The sequence below is a fragment of the Homo sapiens genome, chromosome 16 (assembly GCF_000001405.40).
Source record: "Homo sapiens chromosome 16, GRCh38.p14 Primary Assembly".
Taxonomy (NCBI): Eukaryota; Metazoa; Chordata; class Mammalia; order Primates; family Hominidae; genus Homo; species Homo sapiens.
The window spans coordinates 79771417-79786934 of NC_000016.10; the positions used below are offsets into that span (position 1 = coordinate 79771417).

Sequence of the window (15518 nt, forward strand, 5' to 3'; positions counted from 1 at the left end):
TGGCCATAAAGAAATTCTCTGACCTACCTTGTGGGTTGTAGGTCCTGCCCCATACTGGAGAGGAAGACGTGCTACATAGAGAAGCTAAGAAAAATTTGAACAGACAGGCCGTGCTGGGTTTTCTGCCTCAGTCTCTTGCTATTAGATCAGACTCTTCTTTGTCTAACCCTATTTCTACCTGGCTATCCATGCTTCATCAAACTTAAGCCCGGGTAAAAACAGATACCCGGGGTATCTATTTTTATCTGGGACTTGCGGTCTTCATTTTGAGGGCTCCCATGTCACATAAAACTATGATTGAATAGCTTTGTTATGGCTTTTCTCCTGTTAATTTCTTGTCAATTCATTCAGCAGACTTAGATTAGAGCCTTCAGAGGGAAAGTTTGAACTTTCCTAAAGAAATGGTGTATATTGCAAAAATCGAATCCAGACTCTCTCTATGTGTTATCCTCAAACCCCAGCTTGCTTTGTGGGTGTGTGACCAGCCCAAATGCACAGATTCTGTACTTAGAAGGTCTTACACTTGGTTTACTGCTCTGCTGTTGCTGTTTTGAAGTTATTAATACGATTTGAAGAAGAGGTCCCGTGTTTTCATTTTGCACTGGGTCTGCAAATTATGTAGCCGCCCCTATGAATACAGCTTATTTAAATGTCCCAGAGGAATCTCACGTTTTGAGAATGTCGAACCTCAAGGGAAGGAGGAAGGTTGTAAGCTTGCCACCCCAACCCACATCACACACACACTTAGACTTCTGCACACACCCTACAGATAGTTTTATGACACTATAACTGTAATTTGAATCTCCAGTCTATTAAATGGGAGTGTATATATTTATGGCTGTGTTTATGTGTGTGTGTGCATGCACACGTGCCTGTGAGAACTCAGAGAGGGAATAGAGGTTTGGGGCATTTACAACACACAGATACAGTCCTGATTATTGACTCTATCCTTTCACTTTGGAGACATTACAGGGGATTTGGACAGGCCCTGCTTTTATGAAATACACTCTTAGGAGGTTTTCGAGTGCCTGTAAACACTGGACTGTGAGTGAGGTTGGTGTGATGCCGGCTATCCCTGGAGGGAACAAACCTTGAATACACTTCCACTGGGCCTGGCAGAAAAGCCACATGTTCTTCCATCTGTGTTACCCTGAAATCTGAATCTTCTTTTCTAGTAAAGATTGGCCTAGTTTTTATTCTCTGGATTATGTTGATCTAATTCTCTTAGTTAAGAGATGAAATGATCAGTAAATCACCAATGGCGTGAAAGTCTGAAATAAATGAGAAGAAAGCCTGAGTGTTTCCCTGACACTTAGTTTACCAACAAAGATAATCACACTCTGTGGCAGTTGTAAGGGACTCTGACATGGCTTTGAAACCATCTCCAAATTTTGGAGCACTTTATTTGGTGTTGAGGGAAACTGAGGCCCTGAGAAATAGGCTAAGTTACTACAGGTTACACAGCTAGGTGGTAGTGATATGTAGGTTAGAATCCACTTTGCCCGACTTCTGACCCAGGGCTCTTTCTTGCTTTTCTGTACGAACAGAAAAATACCATAAAACATTATGTAATCAGTTCCTGTGAAGAGAGGTTATTGACTTAATAAATAACCATATGGGGTCACGAGGGAAGGTTACCAGTATGTATTAGTGGTTGCTGTTTGCTCTTGTTTTGTCTATATCATCTCATTTAAGAGAATCTTCTGGATAATATTGAGAGAATGTAGGCAGCATTATTTCCACTTAACAGATGAGGAAAGTGAGGCACAAAGTCGTGGAGTAACTTGCATAGAGTCCCTCAACTTGTTAATGGATTAGCCAAGATGTAAACTCTGTTATTCTTCATTCCTAAATAGCAATATTAAACCTTTCAAATTATCATGGTGCCATGGTAGCCCATTTTAATGACAATATAGATTAAAGAAATGAGTCTTGTCCTACCAAACAGAAGTTAACTATTATGGTCATCATTAAGCTAACTTTGGGTCATTAATTGCTCTTAATTCAGTTTTGTCTCAAGTTTTTTGAGGCTTTATTGTGATGATGTGTTACTTTCCTTTGACATTGCGGACCAATTTAAATTTTATTTGATGTCGACTAAAAATCTCAGTCTAGCCAAAATATAAGTCTAATGATTTGCTTGGCGTTTCAGAAAAAATAAAAAATAAAACAATTATTAGCAAATGGCTTCGTTGATTAAACCATTTGGTTCTAGGTGAAACTGGCAAATATTACCTGGGGTTTGTTGCACATTCTCTGAGGTCTCAAAGCAGATCTGCTGATTCACAGTCTCTACGGTGGTACTCACACTGGGCTGCGCACGGGAATCACCTGGGGAGCATTAAAACTCCTGATGTTTGAATCCCACACCCTGAATTTCTGCTGGAGTTGGTCTGAAAGACAGCTTGGTCATCAGGAGTTTTAAAAGCTCCCCAGTTGAATCTAATGTGCAACCGAAGTTGCAATCCATAGGAGGAACTTGGGAAGCTGTGTGTTTAGTAAGCATCCCAGGTGATGTTTCTGATCAGAGGAGTCTGGAAACACTCCTGCAACTTACATGCTCTGTACAAACCAGGAGCAAGCACTCTGACAGGTTATTTAAGAAAAGTTTGTGGGAGAGAAGCCAGAGACAGCCTAGAGATTGCCTACAATCAGGCTCACCTTGTATAATTTGTGCATTTTTCTAGGAAATAGAGTTTTGAGTGATGAATTGAAGAGAGAAAGAACTAGCCAGAACCTTGAAACCACTTACCATTAATTCTGTCATCCTTTTATGCAGTCACCCCTTTTTCCTCCAAGTCTATATTTATTGGTCATCTATTATATACTATGAATCACTTTAGTGAAGGGCTAGTAACCCACTGATGAATGATAATATAGATACTTGGGATCTTGTAATATTTAAAATGCTTTTGGCTGGCTTAAAAGACTGAGGAAAGTCTTGACTGAATTAAAATAAAATAAACAGGATAGTATATTTGCATCCTGGCCCTTTTCATCATACTTCTTCTTTCTCAGAGAAAGCTCACATATAATGGCAGCAAAATCCATTGAAATCCTGATTTAGAAACACTTAGCAACCCTTGTCAACAATGAGTCCCATGATATTTTTAGCATCTCATCAGAATTAAAACAAATAAACAAACAAACAAGCAAGCAAAATCTCTACACAATGGAGCAATCTTGGAGAGGGAAAATTATAGCTTACTGATCAAGTTTTAGGGACAGATTTCTAACCATCAAACCATAGGTGGTAAAAGTACACAGATTCCAGCCACTCCTGGGCAAAGAGAAGTTGACCAATTTGGAAGGCAGTATTCCATCCTGAGTAAAGGAAAGAGCAGCGCTTTTCTTCCTTCCTTCTTCTCCACTCTTCTTCTTTCCAGTTTAATATTCCAGTTCATACATACAAGTGTCCAGTTCATACTAAGACAATTTTTTTTTTCGAGATGGAGTTTTGCTCTTGCTGTCCAGGCTAGAGTGCAGTGGTGCCATCTCGGCTCACTGCAACCTCCTCCTCCTGGGTTCAAGCGATTCTTAGGCCTCAGTCTCCTGAGTAGCTGGGATTACCAGGAGCCTGCCATCACACCTGGCTAATTTTTGTATTTTTAGTAGAGACGGGATTTCACCATGTTGAACAAGCTGGTCTCAAACTCCTGACCTCGGGTAATCCAGCCACCTTGGCCTCCCAAAGTGTCGGGAATACTGGTGTGAGTCACTGTGTCCGGCCATACTAAGACACTTTCAACCTTAGCATGTCCAGTGCTCAAATCCTGTCTGATGGTGCTTTTATACTGGGCTTGGAAGAAGCATTGGATAGCAGGAGGTATATAATCTAAGTGATAATTTTTATTTGCATTTGTAAGAGATTGCTCGGCTTAATTTTTATATTCCCGTGATTTAGTGGAGGAAAAGGAGAAGAAGGCAAAAACTAAGCCTTTTGTTGAACTCCAATAAGGCCTCTTCCATCCCTGCTGTCTGGAATAGCTTGGGATGGGGCATGTGTTCTGTTCCAGGTAGAGTGTGGCGTTTTCTTTTATGTAAGTGTCTCGTAGGGACAGATCTGCCTGCTTTGCATCTTGGAAGGATAAGCAGGTATGAACAAGCCTGGTGGCCCCAGGACGTGGCAAGGTGTGCATACCTACATGACACTGAATGTCCTCAGCAAACCTGGGTGTTTTTGCAATTCCCTGTGTTTTAGAGCCTATGAACTATGTAGGGGTGTCCAATTCAGCAAGCATCGTTCCGGTGCCCGAAAAGATGTTCTGTTTCTAGGAAAAATCTGAAAAGCTCATCATTCAGATTGAGAAGGAGACAGATTGAGAGGGAGTGTCTGTTAGAGGCAGCATTTTAATGTCCACTTGTTTCTACTGGAATCTTTGTGGGAGTTCTGTGTTCCAAAGCCCAATGTGCTGTCTAGGTTATAGGTTAAACTCAGGAGCTATATTTTGTTGTGGATGCATGGACAGGGAGGTGCTAAAAGTCAAACATCATCATATTCAATGATTAGAATTGCATCTCATTCCTCACTGAAACCCCTTCATGGAAGAACATTTGTTCTAACAGTCATTTCTTTAAAAGGAAACATTCTGGTCTTTAAGGAGGTAGGGTATTGGATATATATTTTAAAATTTCCACTAAGGTGCGTTTTCCAAAATTCCTATTTTATATATATGTGTGTATATACTTGTATGTTTGCATATTTATATGCACACATGTGAATATATATCCATATGTACAACATTCATATTTATATATAAATGAATAAATTCAGCCTTTGTTTTTCTCCATATCTGAAATTAAGTAAAGAAGATCTAATTTACAAAATAATATTAATCGTCATAAATTGAGCTTCTGCACCTTGTGATCTTTGCAAATTATCTTTAGATGTTCTAATTTCTTTCTTGTTCCCTCTTTCTCATTAATCTCTTCCCAGCCAGCTCCCTCCATCTCCTCTTCCAACCCTTTCTTGCCTCTCTCTGCCCACACAGACTTGAAGAACCAGTTTCTCTCCTTGCCTTTACTCCAAAATCATAAACTTAAACCAAAACACATGGCCCAGAACAGGGTGCTGTCTTCAGTTTCCTTTTGCCTTCTCCTGATACTTTCTTGTTAGTTTTGGATTCTGCCCTGCAAACCCCAAGAGCACACTTTCTAGGTATGGAGAAAATAGGGTGTTTTTCCCCCCCACCTCAGCAGAATCTTGCTGAGTGTGTGGGATGCACCAACTCAGTGGTGCAAGATTTGATTGGAAGCAGCTGACGAGCCCCAGCCATCTGGTGAGTGTGCTCACCAAACAGCCTGTCCCTTGTGGTTGCTTAAGAAAAACATTTGTAGTCTCTGGGTCACACTGCTTCTCTTTTGTTCTCTTAAATGTTGAATTTAGGCTTGCCTTTATCCCGGAAAGACGGGACAAGGCAAATAGAAAGAGGGCTGCAAGCTCATGGGAGAGACTCCAGGTCTGTGCACCACTGCGACCTCATATCTAAACATTGACCTTCTAGACCCTTCCCTTTAGTGCACATGGGGATTTATAATCCCGTCCTGCCCTTCACAGATCATTGTCTTGGGGTCTTTTATAAGGCAGAGCTTTGGTGTTACCTTGTATTAGGGCCACCTCCCTGTTCTTTTTCAGGAGACTTTAAGCTCCCTGAAGCGAGGCACTTGCTCTGATCAGAGACTGACACAGGGTTACCAGTTAATACATATTTTTAGGATACTTCAATGCATAAGTGAGTGTTGCCTCTTTTCTCAGCCTCTCCAACCTACTTAGAAATGGAGAAGGGAGGTTTGACCAAAGGACACAGACTTGATTTTGGAAGTCATGGATTCACTATGTCCCCAGCATTGTCCTTAAAGGACCGCCTTCCTCAGAAGGTACCAAGATTTGCTCTGGGGACTTCCAATGTCAAAGGTACCCTTAGGTTACGGATGCTCCTACTGGCCAGATGGGCTCCAGTCTCAGGGAGTGAATGAACATGCAAAAGAACTCTCCTCCTGAACATTTGGCTGGCTGGGGCCCCCCTTTAACCTGGTCATGGTAGTGAGAGCTTGGCATGTGGGCAGTAAGGCAGGCCTCTGTTTGCTATACGCATTCTTGAAGTTTATTAAAAATTTATTTTTATATTTTTTATTAATAAACTAAGAACAGTTTTAGATTTACCGAAAAATTGGGCAGATAGTAGTGAGTTCTCATATTACCTGTTTCCCTCCCCCTGCACACAGTTTTCATTATTAATATATTAGTGTGGCGCATCTGTTACAATCAGCAAACTGATATCAATACATTGTTATTAACTAAAGTCCCTAATTTATTCAGATTTCCATGTTTTTTCCCCTAATATCCTTTCTCTATTCCAGGATCCAATCCAATATTCTACATTCCAGTTAGTTGCTGTATCTCCTTAGACTACTATGAGCTGGGACAGGTTCTCAGACTTTCCTTGCTTTTGATGACATTGACAGTTTTGAGACATACTGGCCAGTTATTTTCTAAATGTCCCACCACTGGAATTTTTTCTGATGACTTTCTCATGATTGAACTGCATTTAAGGGATCTTGGGAGAAAGACTCCAGAGGTAAAATGCCCTTCTCATCACACCACATCAAGGGCACATACTATCAACATGATTTGAAATTGTTGCCATTGACCTGGATTACCTGGCTGAAGTATTGTTTGCCAGGTTTTCCCACTGTACAGTAACTCATGTCCCCTACCTTCTATACTGTACTCTTTGGAAGAGAGTCACTATAGCATATGGATTTTTGTTCTCCACTGTGAGTACCATGATGTCATTTCTCGAGGGTGTGTATTGCAATAGTTTTATGTGGTCTTATATATGTACATCTCCCTATACAGAGAATGGATTCTCTACGTGTTTTTGATATTAGGTTGGTGCAAAAGTAATTGCAGTTTTTTGCCATTAAAAGCAATGCTTTGCACATTTTATAAAATACAGAGTTATGAGCAAGATTAGTTGTGTGGGTATGCGTGCATTTGTGTGTGTGTGTGTACGTATGTGTGTATTGTGAGGTCAAAATTACATGCAAAACTTAATAGATTTATTTCTGTTACATTTTAAGAAAAAAAGATATGGTTACCCTGTATGTACCTATTTCTTTTAGAGTATATTTAGCTAAGAAAAAGATGGCTAAGTTGACAAGAGTGATGTAATAATAATAGCAACCTCTGACATTTATCAGGTGCTTAGTAGGACCAGTCCTGCGCCAAAGATTTTACATGCGTCTTATTTGATCTTATTTCAACCTTTGAGATAGCTGAGTGGCTTTGGATCATCCACTTAAATGCCCTATTCTTCCATTTCCTCATCAATTATATGGAAACTAGAGAAATATCTACCTTATGAAATTTTTATGTGGAATGAATGGGCTTGTATGTGTGTGAGTCTCAGATAACTTAATAACCAGCCCAAGGTCACGCAGTTAATAAATGGGAGAACTGTGGCTCAAATCCAAGTGCAAATCATTCCATATCCATGTTTGTGAACACCCTACTGTATGCTGTAGGTCCTCCTGGATAAAGTACCATCACATTTGAGTTATTCTGGAAAAGGAAGGAGTAGGAAAGGATGATACCGGGGACCCAAGGACGCAGTTTTCTGTTTCTTCCTATCACCACATAATTTTGGGGTAGGGTTGGCCGTGAATCAGAAGCATCTGTTGAATGGGTTTTTCATGAACTGTGCTTTTATTTTCTCTTCTCAGAAGAACATCCTAGCACATCCGAAGACCATGACTTTAAAGCTGCTTTATTTTATTCCCTCCTAAAAGCTGAATTTGTGGAAACTTCTGAGTGAACACTCATCTCCTTCTTCCCTTGTTTGATGAGTTGTTGGTCAGTCTTCAAAGAGCCCATCTTCCTTGAAAGTATGATATGCCTCTGTCACTAGTTTGATCTGGAGAATTGCAACCACTGGGCATGAAGCTTAGATGTACCTTGAACTTGAAATGATCTCAAAAAATTCCAAGATTGGTGTGTAAACTACTATCACCCCTGTGGGGTTATTATGTTGACTTGTTTTAATTTTATAAAACTCCTCAGAGATGGGGAAGGAAATCATCCTTCACCTTCTATTGCTGAAAAGCATGCTGCAGGAAAAAAATGATGATTCTTGCCAAAGATGCTAGGGACAAAATTTCTCCTTGGAAACCCTGAGAAGCAGAAGTCCTTTCTCTTTCTGGGCAATCTCAAGGTAGCGTGAGTTGTAAATACAAACTGGTTTTAACTGTCCTCCTGAGTGGCCTTGCAACCCATGACCAGAACTGGTCAAAGATTTTTATTTCACCCAACCACAGGGAGGAACATGAAGGCACGGTCACTAGGTGTTTAATCAGCAGGTGAATTCAAGCCTTTAATTCTTTGTATACTGCAGTCAATAGAAAGTTATTGCTTAATTAACCCCTTTGATGAATACCTGATAATTAATAAACCCATAAAGTATACCCTAAGGCTTTAAGTTGAAGAAGGCTCCCCTCTTCAAGTGGAAAAGAGAAGAAGAAGAAAAAAAAAACATGCTGAACTAATGGGAAAAAATTCCAGTAGAAGGCAAAGCAATTAGGATTAGTGAATTCCATTTCATTTAAAGGTGCAAGATAGAGGAGCCATTTATCTAACAAATTAATAATGGGAGTGACTTGCCTAATATAGTAACAAGTCCTTATATTTTATTAGTGGAAATCCAAACCAAGTAATTTAATGATAGACAAGTTTCCATATATGTAATTTTTTAAGGCTTTTTAAAAAAATTGTCACCATACTCAGATAGTTTTAGATTTATGCATTGCCTCTAAATTAGTCCCCACTTCAGTTTGGAATGATACTTTTAATATTATGGCTTTGTAGAAAAATCAATATTTTTTTAGTGTTTTCTTTCATTTTAAAGAGCTTCGTCATCTGGCTAATTGTGTCACCATAAAAAAAAAATAGAAGAGTTGAGGAGGTGGTTCATATTTCGCAAGTATCATTAAATTTGCCGTGTGTTACAAATGGGGTCTACTGGGGGCTGTTGAATGCTGGAGCTGTGGGGCAGAGCAGAAGGGAAGGTATTAATGTAGGGCTGCTAAAGAAATCTCTCGTTCTAAATTGAGAGAAAATATGAAATATATCCTGAAAAGTGTTTGCAGTAGCAATAGCATGACAGAGATCCACTGTGGTCTTGAGTTCTCATGGAGCCTCTGGGGTTTGCTTGATACCCAAGGCAGGTGAGGAGGCCCTGAGACTTCTACCCCTCTGATCTTCTTCCCAGATAAGGAGGAATTTATTAATCATCCAGCAGATATTTACTGTGCCTCTGCTGTATGTCAGATATTTGATGCTAGTCCTTGCCTTACCTGCAAACCAATGGGGGAGCAACTACAATAGCCTCACATGGCCTCTGCTCTCAAAGTTTGCCTCTGCATTAAATTCCTAGAGAAGAATATGCTTCAGTATGGGGAAGGGCAAGAGCACTAGTCGAGGGACATATAGTTCAAAAAAATCAAAGATTTTGGAGAAAAGCACAATGGCACCCAAGTTCTATCGGCCATGACCTTGCACAGGGCTGAGCCTCAGCTTCTGTAACCTGCAAAACAGGTATTTTCCACATAGACTAGTTATTGTGCTGTACATTAAATATGTGGTATATGGTGAACGCTTTGAAGTCCTGGAGAATAAAATGAGACTGCAGTGAAAATGTATTTTGAAACTCAAAAAAATACAGTATCAATTTAAGATACTAATAATTTTAGCAAATGGTGGGACAAATATATTGCTTGGAAGGCAGTTGAGATATATTTATTTATTTGCTAGCTACTCTATTTTGATGCCTCTTTCTTTTAATTTTGCCCAATGACTAATAGCCTTTTTGAATTGCTTCTTTTCCACTTTCACTTTCTTTACATATGTAAAATCTTAGAGGGATCCCAAAGTGTTTAAATACCACCAGCACCAACAGTAATAATAACAGCTCAGCAGCACTAAGACTAAATACCATATCAGGCACCCTGTATAGATCTTTCTAAAATAGTTCTGACAACCCTAAAAGAGCAATATTATTTAGCCCATTTTAGAGATAAAGAAACTAAGGCTCCGTCTTTCTGATATAATCTATTACAAAGACTTTTATTAGCAATAGCGAATATTTGTAGAGTATTTATGACTATATGACAGGCGGTTGACATTTTCATCCTGTTTATTTCTCATTTAATCATTCAACAAATATTTACTGAATGCTGGGTATTCATAGTGGCCCAATCAGTATAGACTGGTCAACAGGAGAGAACTCATAAGCCCAGTCAGGAGATAGTATAGAACAACACTATGAGGTAGGTGCTTTTGTTATCTCTAGTTTATGTCCAAGAAAAGTGAAGATATGATTCGAATCCAGATACTTCACTTTTAACCATGACACCATATTGCCTCTGAGAAAAGTGCTTGGGATCAAGAGAATTGAGACACTGGGGATAGTATGGTTGAGATGAACCATCCTCCTCTGAGTCTATAAGAGAATTGGGCCTAGATAGTCAGTGTGACTACAGAGCATTCCTTGCCTTCTCAGGAGGGGGACCAAGGCTCTAAGGCAGCAGCCCTAGTTCCTCCATTTGCCACTAATTACCATGTAATCTTGGTAAGCCCCTCAGTTTTGCTGTGCTTCCCTCATCAGCCAAATGGGGATAGCCACGCCTGACTTAGAAGAAGTCCTGGAGAATAAAATGAGATTGTAGTGAAAATGTGTTTTCAAAGTCAAAAAACACAGTATTGATCTAAGATACTAGTAATTATAGCAAATGATGGGAGAAATATATTGCTTGGAAGGCAGCTGAGATGCATTTATTTATTTGCTGTTACTCTGTTTTGATGCATCTCTTTTTGGATTTTGCCCATGACTATTGATGACACATATATAAAAGAAAAATGCTCATTGAAATGGAAAATGGAGACTTTAAACATGAAAGTTCAAGATAGATCAGATTGATTTTTTTCATTTTTTTTTTTTTTTTTTTTTTTTGCCTATTTCTGTTAGCAATAACTGGTCTTGTACTGCTAAGTATCTAGTTGAAAATACCTTAGCAGACACATTCTGCCTCTACCTAATAAATGAGACTGCCTATATAGACTGTCTGATAGTTGTACAAAGGAATCAAATGCATATATCTTACCATACACAGGTACTCAAAGATCAATTGTATTCAATAATATAATGGATGTGTTTTTCATCTTTAAAATTCCTGCAAGAGTAGTTATTCTTCACAGATTGAATTAGCAAAGTAGGAACAGATGAAGTCAATTGTCAATTGTTCAAATGCAGGTACATATTATATAGACAGATCGAAACCTTGGGGGCTGCTAATGTGAGAAGATAAATCCCTCCTCATAAAACGAGTATTAGTAGCAATCTGCACCAATGCCTTTAATTTCTCATATCCTTGTAAATCTTCAGAGCTCGAATGAGGTGCTTACTTCCTATTACTTTATTCAGATCAGAAGGTTTAGAATAACCCTAAAAATATCTTTTTATTTTTTCAAACCTGCTTCATTTCATCCTCAAAAACACTGTAGCATCAACATTAAACAGAGCTAGTTAACAGGGGTTTTAAGAAAATTAAAGGTGTGGCCAAGTCTAGACATCCCAAAATAAGTGGATGGGGGATACAGGCTTTTGGTCCAGTTATTTCGGCCACCTTCTTAATGGACAATTTGGATCACTGCACAGTCAATCCGCTTAATTGCATCTGTGTTGGCCATTAAAACAAATTGAATGCGCTATGGCCAATTTGGTCATGTCATAAAGAAATGGCCAGTAGGGCCCACGGAGATGCAGAATTTCAGCCATTATTCGATTATATCTGATCAGTGGAGACAGCTTGTATAGGGAATCCAGGAGCTAAAGTAGATCACACAGGAGCCCCCAGCCTACTTTGCCGACCATGTTATTAGGATCCACTGTCGACAGCAACAAAATTGGCCAGGTGGTTGACAAAGCATCACTTTACTTTGTCCTGAGGAGAGAAAAGTCAGTGCCCCATGACTTTGCCTAAAATATCCCGTCAGCAAACCAACAGGTCGTCTTTTCCACTTTGAGTCCTGAGTAATTTGAGAAGTAGAGAAAAAAAATCTGAAATGTCCACTGTCGATGACCTCTAGTGTTGGTGTAAAAATAGACCTTAAGCTGCATCCTTTGTGATTAATGCTGGGTAAAGGTAATTTAAGAGGGGCCTAAGTTTCTTATTTTTTCAGATCTCGACTCCATGTACTTTACCTTTCCCTGCACCTCTGCTTGTCTGAGAGGTCTCAAGATCATCATTTGGGACCTCCATTTCTGCTGGGTCTGTCATCTTAGATCGCCTTGATCTTGAGCATCTTTGTGAAGTTGAACAGGGGAATGGCCTTATTATGGGTATTTCTGGATTATACTCTATATATTTAAGCCATAACATAAGGAATAACTGTGGGCCATATTTACTAAACATTTGATATATGTTAGGTGCTATCTGGCATTTTAAGTATATTGTCTTATCTAATCCTCATCTGACCCTGTGAGGTAGGTTCTGGTGTGTTTACTGCGTGGATGAGGGAGCTGACACTTAAAATTGTAATTACTTGTCAAGGTCAAGGTCATTCAACAGGATCAGAATCAAGACATAACCCCTGGTCCCTCTGGGTCCAAAGCTTGTAGTCTCAAATACCGTATCATCCTAAGCACCATTGATGATGACTCATTTCAGGCCGGCTTAAGGGATAAGCTTTCACCAATTTGTTCTTATAAATATTTACTGTTTTCAAACCATGTGTTAGGCATTGTGGGAGTACAGAGTTGAAAGAAACAGAGTCCTTGCTTCTAAGGAATGTACAACTAGTTGGGGAGATAAACTTTCAGTGTGACAGTATGAGTTGGGTGCGTTCGGTCTGAACAGACAGCAAAGCTCTTTCCTTGTTGCCTTGCTGAGTGACGAGCTAATCTGCTCACCAACTTCTGCTCCCTTAGCCTGTGAAGAGAAGAGTTCTCTGCCGGGGGTTCCCTGTTCTTCAGGAGCTTAGCAATGTGATAGAAACCAAAAAGGGGTCACCACCTGGAACCAACAGTGGAGGTTTTGTCACCATGCTAATGGGGCCAGAGACTGTGGGAATATAAAACACTGACAGTGGCCCCTGAGAACCACTGTGCATGTGGCCAGGCAAGTGACGGCTGAGTCCTGGTGGATTGTGAGAAACCACGGGAAAATGGCTAGAGCCACCTTATTCACTCCAGGCACCTTCTAGGAGTCAGTGGCCTTGGCATGATTTGATTAGAGGATAAAGAAAATGTGGCACATATATCCCATGAAATACTATGCAGCCATAAAAAAAGAACAAGATTATGTCCTTTGCGATAACATGGATGGAACTGGAGGCCATTATTCTAAACAAACTAACACAGGAAACAGAAAACCAAATTCTTCATATTCTCACTTAAAAGTGGGTGCTAAACAATGAGTACACATGGACCTAAGAAGGGAACAACAGACACCGGTCCCTACTTGAGGGTGGAAGGTGGGAGGAGGGTGAGGATTAAAAAGCTACCTATTGGGTACTATGCTTATCACCTGGGTGACAACAAAATATGTACACCAAAGCCAACCACCAGCAGTTTACCTATATAACAAACCTGCACATAAACACCTCAACCTAAAATAAAAGTTAAAACAATCATAAATAAATACATAAAAGGCAAAAAAAAAAAAAAAAAGAAGTGAAAAGAGCCATTATCCAAGAAGAAGAAGAAAAAGGAGGAAGAGAAGGAGACTGTATTTGGAAATATTCTCATGGAAAGAGATGAGACTTGCTTCTTACCTCCATCCTCATATCCTATTTGTTCCTCCTAGGGACCCTATCACCTTATCCATTTCTTCTTTGTCAATCCAAATTCTAGCCACCAAAAGCAAATCGCCTCACCTCCTTTGTAACAATTTTTCTGATCATCTCAAGGAGAATGGTTGGAACATGTCTTCTCATTCTTTCTGAGTTCCTCATTTTCATTCATTCATTCAGTCAATCAGTCAGTCTGTCAACAAATACTGAGTGCCCAATGGATGCGGACCATTGTGCTAGGTCTACAGCACTGAATCAGTGTTTGCTCATTCAGTCACCCACTGACTTCTTACTCCAACAGCCATCCTTAAAAGTGATTTTTGGATGAGGAGAATCTAACATATGCAAGATCACAGTGCGGCATAGACAACAACTGTATATGCTAAACCTAGATTCACAGAGTATTGGTATAAACTCATGACATAAGAGAAGACCCAAGTCCAAAGAAACTTCGGTTAATAGAAGAGAGTAGAAAGGGCATTTTGCATGTACTGGAGGAGCTAGGATTCTCTAACTGGTTCAGCTATTTGTTTTAGAAAAGAAAACATGAAGGAGAATATGTAAGCAGTAATAGTTTCTTAGCACAATATCATGACAGGTGGACTACGCCAGTCCAGATGCCTTCTGGAACTGGAGAGGGGAGCTTTTAGGAGTGCATAAAGGCCTTTATGACAGACATTAAGTTTCAGAAAGAGAAAACATTTCGCCATTTTAGGACTTATTCCAAAGAAACACCATATAGCCAAATAATTTTGGAGACCATTTAAAAGAAGAAGACTGTTCCGATATGATGGTATCCACAGAAGACAGGTCTGAAAGTAAATAAAAGATGGTAGAATCAATGAAGTCATTTCAAAAGATCAAAAGGAGAAGAAAAAATAGTGCACATGGCAGAAATAGAAATACAGGGGCACTAATAAAGTATTTGGACTCAGTGGGAGCAGATGAGACAGGTCTCTGCTTGGAGAATTAGATTTGAAAAGAGGAATAACGAGAAAGGGAGATGACAAGATAGACTTATATCAGGTGGGTTGTTGTATGGAGACACCAAGAGAAGGATGCTGGTTAGAGGTTGAGTGTTGGGAGAGTGGAAGCTGAATCAAGGGCAGTGAATGAGAGTATGTATTAGTTCCAAGGCTATTAAAATAACAGTTTCCATGCCATTTCCTCCACCACTACCATCACCACTGCCATCACCACCACAATAACAACTATCACCATCATTATCATCGCCACCATTATCATCACCACCGTCACTGCCATAACTACTATTACTACCACCATCACCATCACCACCACCACCACTACTATTAACATCACTAGCATCATTGCCACAATTACTATTGCTACCATCATCACCACCACTATCACCATCACCGTTACTACCACAACCACCATCATGCTCACTATCATCATTGCTACAACTACTATTTCTACTACCATCACCATCACCACCATCACTACCACCATCACCATCATTACTACCACCATCACCACCACCACCAGCACTGTCATGCTCACTGGCACCATTGTCACACCTATTATAACCACCATCCCCACCATCACAGCCACCATCATCACCACCATCATTGCCACAACTATTACAGCCACCATCACCATCACCACCACCACTACCACCATCATCATTACCACCACCATTATCACTACTACC

At 39.9% G+C, this 15518-nt stretch overlaps 1 long non-coding RNA gene across 1 annotated transcript in view; it reads left to right on the plus strand.

Annotated features, from left to right (window-relative positions):
• LINC01229 (long intergenic non-protein coding RNA 1229) overlaps nucleotides 1-15518 on the plus strand; it is a 30873-nt gene that overhangs the window by 946 nt on the left and 14409 nt on the right. The window lies entirely within an intron of this gene.